This window comes from Homo sapiens, chromosome 2 (genome assembly GCF_000001405.40).
Source record: "Homo sapiens chromosome 2, GRCh38.p14 Primary Assembly".
NCBI classification, from domain to species: Eukaryota; Metazoa; Chordata; class Mammalia; order Primates; family Hominidae; genus Homo; species Homo sapiens.
Genome location: NC_000002.12, coordinates 227,743,425 through 227,750,737, shown reverse-complemented (window position 1 = coordinate 227,750,737; position 7,313 = coordinate 227,743,425). Strand labels below are relative to the sequence as shown.

The following is a 7,313-nucleotide window of genomic DNA, read 5'->3' as shown; positions in this document are numbered from 1 at the left end:
TAACATATACAAACATATATATAACCTATATTATATATAATATATATGGTTTTATTTTATTTTATTTTATTTTATTTTATTTTATTGAGATAGAGTCTTTCTCTGTCGCCCAGGCTGGAGTGCAGTGGCATAATCTTGGCTCACTGCAACCTCTGCCTCCAGGTGTTCAAGCGATTCTCCTGCCTTAGCCTCCCGAGTAGCTGAGATAACAGGCACGTACCACCATGCTGAGCTACTTTTTGTATTTTTAGTAGAGATGGGGTTTCACCATGTTGGCCAGGCTGGTCTCAAACTCCTGCCCTCAAGTAATCCTCCTGCCTCAGCCTCCCGAAGTGCTGGGATTACAAGCATGAGCCACCAAGCCTGACCTATATGTAGATATAGTATATATAATATATATAACATTTGCTCATTCTAACAATATTTAGTGGCAAACTATACATGTGCCGAGCCCTGTGATCCCTATAATGTGTGTTGTTAGTCTACAATCTTCATCCAAACGTTCTTAAAATGAATGCAAAAAATCAACATTCAATAAGTAGGAGGTGGCTCACACCTGTAGTTACAGCACTTTGGGAGGATAAGGTAGGAAAATTATCTGAGGCCACGATGTTGAGTCCAGCCTGGACAACAGAGCAGGACCCTTTCTCGACAAAAAAAAATTTACATTAGGCGGGCATGGTGGTGCATGCCTGTAGTTCCACCTGCTTGGGAGGCTAAAGCAGGAGGATTGCTTGAGCCCAGGAGGTCAAGGCTGCACTCCAGCCTGGGTGACAGTGAGACCCTGTCTTGAAAGGAAAGAAGGAAGGAAAGAAAAAGAGAAAAGCAAGGAAGAAAGGAAGGAAGGAGGGAGGGAGGGGGGAGGGAAGGAAAGGAAGGAAGGAAGGAAGGAAGGATTCATTTAAGTAGACTAAAAAAGCAATTTTTGGCTGGGTGTGATGGCTCATGCCTGTAATCCCAGCACTTTGGGAGGCCTAGATGGGTGGATCACTTGAGGTCAGGAGCTCGAGACCAGCCTGGCCAATATGGTGAAACCTCATCTCTACTAAAAATACAAAAATTAGCCAGGTGTGGTAGCACATGACTAGTCTCAGCTACTTGGGAGGCTGAGGTGAGAGAATCGCTTAAACCTGGGAGGCGGAGGTTGCAGTGAGCTGAGATCCCACCACTGCATTCCAGCCTGAGCAACAGAGGAAGACTTCGTCTGAAAAAAATAATTAAAAATAAATAAATAAATAAAATAAAAAAGCAGGCCAGGCACAGTGGCTCACGCCTGTAATCCCAGCACTTTGGGAGGCTGAGGCAGGCAGATCATTTGAGGACAGGAGTTCGAGACCAGCCTGGCCAACATGGTGAAACTTCCAGCTCTACTAAAAATATACGAATTAACCAGGCATGGTGGCGCATGCCTGTAATCCCAGCTACTCAGGAGGCTGAGACAGCAGAACTGCTTGGGCTCAGGAGACAGACGTTGCAGTGAGCAGAGATTGCGCCATTGCACTCCAGCCTGGGTGACAGCACAAGACTCCACCTAAAAAAAAAAAAAAAAGAAGGCAATTTTTTTTTCAAGCCTAGATCTTTTCGGGTCAGCCCAATGTAGCCAGTCAAGCAGATCTGCCTTTTCTCAAAATAACCATTTCACATTTCATCTGCAATAGAGTAAATACACCAAGATCAGGATCAGTGATATATAAGGGAGTTATCATGCACATTTATTAGAAAGCATTTTTAGATTATCAACTCCCTTTCCTGCTACATCTTACAGAGTGAAACAAACAACTTTAAAGGAAATGGCCAGTTTCTGACCTAGTTGATCATATTTGATAAGAATTTTAAAATGGGGCCAGGCACAGCGGCACACACCTGTAATCCAAGCATGTTAGGAGGATCACTTGAGCCCAACTGTTTGAGACCATCCCGGGCAACACAGCAAGACCTCGATTCTATCACAAAATGTAAAAAGTGTGGTAGCATGCACCTGTGATCTCAGCTACTCAGGAGGCCAAGGTGGGAGGATCGCTTGAGCCCAGGAGGTTGAGACTTTAGTCAGTAATGATGGTGCCACTGCACTCCAGCCTGGGCAACATTGCAAGACCTTGTTTGAAAAAAACAAGATAAAATAAAATAAAAATAAAGAATAAACTGGACTACCTTGTACAATTTCCCAAATCTCTAAGAAAAGAAGAATAGAAGTCCCAGTGCATTGTTAAATCACCATTGTCATCTTGCCTGTTTTGTCATCTCAGACATTCCCCTCATTTGTTTGGTTTGTATTATGCCTTAACTCCCCACAAATACTCTTGCCATTCCCACTCTGCTGTTGTCTTGGGCCCTCGTTGCTTTGCCCAGGATTTCTGACACTGCTCCGTTCTCCCAGTGAACCGATTAATTCTGCACATTGCTGTCCAGGTAAGTGTCCCCTCTCAAAAGCCTTCCCTGGCCCATAGCATTGCTGTGTGTGCAGCGCCCCCTGCGGCAGTTATGTGCTTTGAACAAGTTAATAACTTCTCTGTGCCATTTCCCTCTCTGCAACATGACACATGTATGTGCTTAGAAGAATGCCTGTCCCCTTTTCACTCTGTCACCCACGCTGCAGTACAGTGGCACTATTATGGCTACTGCAGCCTCAACCTCCCAGGCTCAAGTGATCCTCTCACCTCAGCCTTTCAAGTAGCTGGGACTACAGCTGCACACCATCACGCCCAGTTAATTTGTGTATTTTTTTGTAGACACTAGGTCTCACTATGTTGCCCAGACTGGTCTTGAACTCCTGGGCTCAAGTGATCCTCCCAGCACTTTGGGAGACTGAGGCGGGTGGATCACTGAGGGCCAAGAGTTCGAGACCACTCTGGCCAACACAGCGAAACCCCGTCTTTACTAAAAATACAAAAATTAGTCAGGCGTGGTGGCGCAAGCCTGTGATCCCAGCTACTCGGGAGGCTGAGGCATGAGTATCACTTGAACCCAGGAGGCAGAGGTTGCAGTGAGCCAAGATCATGCCACTGCACTCCAGCCTGGGTGAGACATTGAGACTCTGTCTAAAAAACAAAACAAAACAAAAACCAAAGTGCTGAGATTGCAGGCATGAGCCACCACGCCTGGCCAGAATACCTGGTTTTTAAGGGCAATGCAAATGCCAGTTACTGTTGCTGTTGTCCGTGCTGTTATTCTTAACCCCTCAGCCTTCCAAATTGTAGGACAGCCTTCCTGTCATTGTTGACTTGTAACTATTTATATTAGCCTACTGTAGGTCAAATTCATGATTTGTCCCATGTATGTCTTGAACTTTTCCATTCTCACATTTTTGCCCTTCTCGAAACATCTGCCCCAACCACCTCCACCTGTCAAAACCTTACTAATTCTTCAAAACACACTCCCAAATGTCCCTTCCTTCTTGAAGTGATCCGAGTTCCTTTGAATTACACCCATTCCCCATCCAGCAATGTGGAGTTGTTCCTGCCCATGACATACACATCAACATAGAACTTTTAACACGTTTGTTATTCTTCTACCTCATGTTTGTGGTTATTTGTGTATAAATGGAAGTAAACCACACAAGGGCATAATTATATGTGTATCCTTAATGGCCTCCAACCCACATAAAATCATGATTAATGGTAGTTTAATGAAAAATATCTATAAGAATAAAACTAAGGGAAACTGTTCAGAGTTCACTTTTGCATTTTATTATGAAATTTTTCATGAAGAATGGTTGATTAATGAGTACAAAAATACAGTTAAAAGAACAATACCTAGTGCTCAATAAATCAGTAGAGTGACTATAGTAAACAATAAACTATTACCCATTTCAAAACAGTTAATAGAGAATAATTTGAATGTTCCCAGCATAAAAGAAAAAGATTTAAGGTGATTAATATCCCAATTACCCTGATTTGATTATTACACATTATGTAAATTTATTAAAATATCACATGTATCCCCCCCAAATATCTACATCTATTATGTATCAATTTTTTTAAGTAAAAAAATATAGATGGGTTACTACCAAAGGGAAAAAAGATTTTTTGGTGATATAATCAAAATTATAGCACTAAAATGAAGACCATGAATTAGTAAAACAAAAAAAGAAAATTTTAGGAGAACACCTAGAAAAGACTCTATGGCCCAGAAAAGACAGAGCATATGTGGAACACACAAGAAGACCTAATGCCTAGAGAGAAAAGAGTTCAAAGAAGAAAGCATGGTCAAAATCATGATCCTGCTTTGCTGAGCTCAAAACTCAAAATGTCCTGCATCTTTGTGCTTGAATGACATTGTACCAGTTGCCCATGTGACTACCTTAATAATAGGAAGAATTACTTAAACTACAGAGATGAGAACCAAGCAGAAAAGTGCCATGAAGTCTGGGTGACAGGGAGACAGCAGGGAGCACACGGGATGGGATGGAGGAAAGCCACAGCAAGGGGAGCAAGCTGCCTCCCTGCGGCACCTGCAGACCCGCAGTCTTACCAACAGCATGAGTGGCTACAGCCCCTGCCCAGAGGCTGGGTTCCCACCTAGCAGCAGCATTGCTTCTGGCAGCAGCACTTCTGCTGACAGCATCCCTTCTGCTGGCAACAGCCCTTCCCATAGCCACAGCCACACGAGCTGCAGGTGCGGCGGCAGCAGCAGATCACGGGAGTGCTGCAGCAGCCTCCACAGCAGCCACGGCAGCAGGGGCAGCAGCTGGAGCAGCAGCCCACCCGGTAGCACCTGCAGGTGGTGCAGCTGCCACAGCCACCACCGCAGCCACCACCGCCGCAGCCACCACCGCAGCCACCACCACAGCCACCACTGCAGCCACCACAGCCACCACCGCAGCCACCACACCCACAGCAACCCATGGTGTCAGTAGAGAGGACTGAGGAGAAGCGAGGATAGAGGGCTCAGGAGAGATGAAGAGGTCTGATGCCGCCTTCTGTCCGGGGAAGCCCTTATATAGCAACTCCAGCAAGCCAAGCCCAATATGTGGCCCATTTCTTGTTGTTGTTTATCCTATTTCTTGTTGTTGTTTATGAGATCTCATAAAAGATCTCATGAGTTGTCTTACGCCCTACCTTGTGAACATCTTAACAAGCTAATATTGCTAAATTTAACTTTTGCTCATCTCTTAAACCTCTGTTTGGATGAGAACACACCTCTAAGATGTTTGTGTTTGCAAGAACTTAAATGTGTGTTAGGGCTTAAAATAGTGCCCGACACATTGTAAGTATTCAATAGGTATCTTTTGAATTAAATAAATGCCTAGAACATTTAAGAATAATCTTCATTTCTTTATAATCATGAGAGTCTGAATCCAGAGCCAGGTAAAAAGTCTTGTGTCTCTGTTGATACTTCTCAGTTGTCACAGGTTGGACAAAACATTGTTTTTCTCTCTGTTGGAATTCATCACACAGTCTTATGATATTAAAAAAAAACCTTCTTGGCTGGGCACGGTGGCTCACGCCTGCAATCCCAGCACTTTGGGATGCCGAGGCGGGTGGATCACCTGAGGTCGGGAGTTCAAGACCAGCCTGACCAACATGGAGAAACCCCATCTCTACCAAAAATACGAAATTAGCCAGGTATGGTGGCACATGCCTGTAATCCTAGCTACTTGGGAGGCTGAGGCAGGAGAATCACTTGAACCCAGGAGGTGGAGGTCACGGTGAGCTGAGATCATGCCATTGCACTCCAGCCTGGGAGACAGAGGGAGACTCTGTTTCAAAAAAAAAAAATTAGACCAGCTACTCAGGAGGCTGAGGCAGGAGAATCACTTGAACCTGGGAGGCAGAGGTTGCAGTGAGCCAAGATTGTGCCATTGCACTCCAGCCTGGGTGACAGAGTGAAATTCCATCTAAAAAAAAGAAAGAAACAGAGTAGGCATTTCTGAATGTATTACCTTGCACCTTATATCTCACCTTAAAACACAAATATTCTCTTTTCTAGCTCCTTGGGATTTTTCATTCACCAGAAGAATTGCTTGATCATAAAAAATTCCAAAAAAAATATTGTGCTATGTGAAATGCTAAAAACGCAATTATTTAGGGCCTACTCCTAAGTCATCTCCCAAGGGTGAGGTTTCTGTTTGTTGTTTATCTGTTAAATAATTGGGAAAACAAAAGCAACAAAGTTTACATTTGGTGGCTGGCCTTCTCTCGTGCCTCTCTCACGTTTAAGACCCATGGGGAGGCTCCAGGCTTAGGCCTGCCCACGCACTAATGGAATGTTTATTTGGAATGATCCCATTCGGTCCAACTGACTCTACCTGTCAGGCCTCCATTTCCTGCCCCAGGTAGCCCGTGGGTGTGAGTAAGTCAGTAGGGTAAGGTTCTTGCCTGACTATCTCCAGAGTTAAAGGCCTGCCCGGCTAATCTCTATTCTCCAGACAACGCACAGAAGAGGCCCATGCGGTGGAGACCCCGCAGTCCCTCTTGGAACTTACGCTGCAGGTTCTGATCAACAACCACCAGGCTCTGCAGGGGGCTGCATGTCCCCCAGGATGTCGGTGTCCGTGGTTTTACAACTGGCACCTCTTTCATAAGCTGACTTTTTGAAAGCAGAAGAAAGGCTTAAGACACCCTCCCTTGATCTACCTCTCACAGGTGTGGGGCTATGAGGAGTCCTCCTGCTCTCTGTTTTGTCTGCCCAGTGCCCTACATGAGACACTCGTATAATGTCTATGATGCCCACAGTAGAGACATAAGGGCCAGACTCCCTCAGTTGGTTCCTGCTACTTCCAGACCTGCCTGCCCTGCTGTATGAGATGGCTGTCCTTTTTGTTTCATTTTGTTCCTTGATTTTTTGAGACAGGGTCCTGCTCAGTCACACAGACTAGAGTGCAATGGTGCAATCATAGCTCACTGCAGCCTCAGGCTCCTTGGGTTCAAGTGCTTCTCCATCTTCAGCCTCCCAGTAGCTGGGACTATAGACCCATGCCACCAGGTTCAGCTACAGACGGCTGACTCTGGACTCTGTCTGGGGACCTTGTTTTTGTGCTCTTCTCCCTTTTCTTTTTAGATGGAGTTTCACTCAGTCGCCCAGGGTGAAGTGCAGTGGCACAATCTTCACTCACTACAACCTCTGCCTCCTAGGTTCAAGCAATTCTCATGCCTCAGCCTCCCAAGTAGCTGGGATTACAGACGTGCACCACCACACCTGGCTAATTTTTGTATTTTTAGCAGAGACAGGGTTTCACCATGTTGGCCAGGCTGGTCTCGAATTCCCGACATCAGGTGATCCACCCACCTCAGCCTTCCAAAATGTTGGGAGTGTAGGCATGATCCACCACTCCCGGCCTGTGGTGTGCTTTTGACATCACAGCTAAGAAGTAT

At 45.3% G+C, this 7,313-nt stretch overlaps 1 protein-coding gene across 1 annotated transcript; it reads right to left on the bottom strand.

The window, feature by feature from the left end:
• Positions 1-4,517: 4,517 nt before the first annotated feature.
• On the bottom strand, positions 4,518-4,844 carry SCYGR8 (small cysteine and glycine repeat containing 8). The gene has a single exon (NM_001395409.1). The coding sequence runs from the start codon at positions 4,842-4,844 to the stop codon at positions 4,518-4,520; it is 327 nt and encodes a 108-aa protein (NP_001382338.1).
• Between the last annotated feature and the right edge of the window lie 2,469 nt (positions 4,845-7,313).

Coding starts and splice junctions, on each gene's coding strand:
- SCYGR8 (NM_001395409.1), bottom strand. CDS start 4,844: ATGGGTTGCTGTGGGTGTGGTGGCTGCGGTGGTGGCTGTGGTGGCTGC.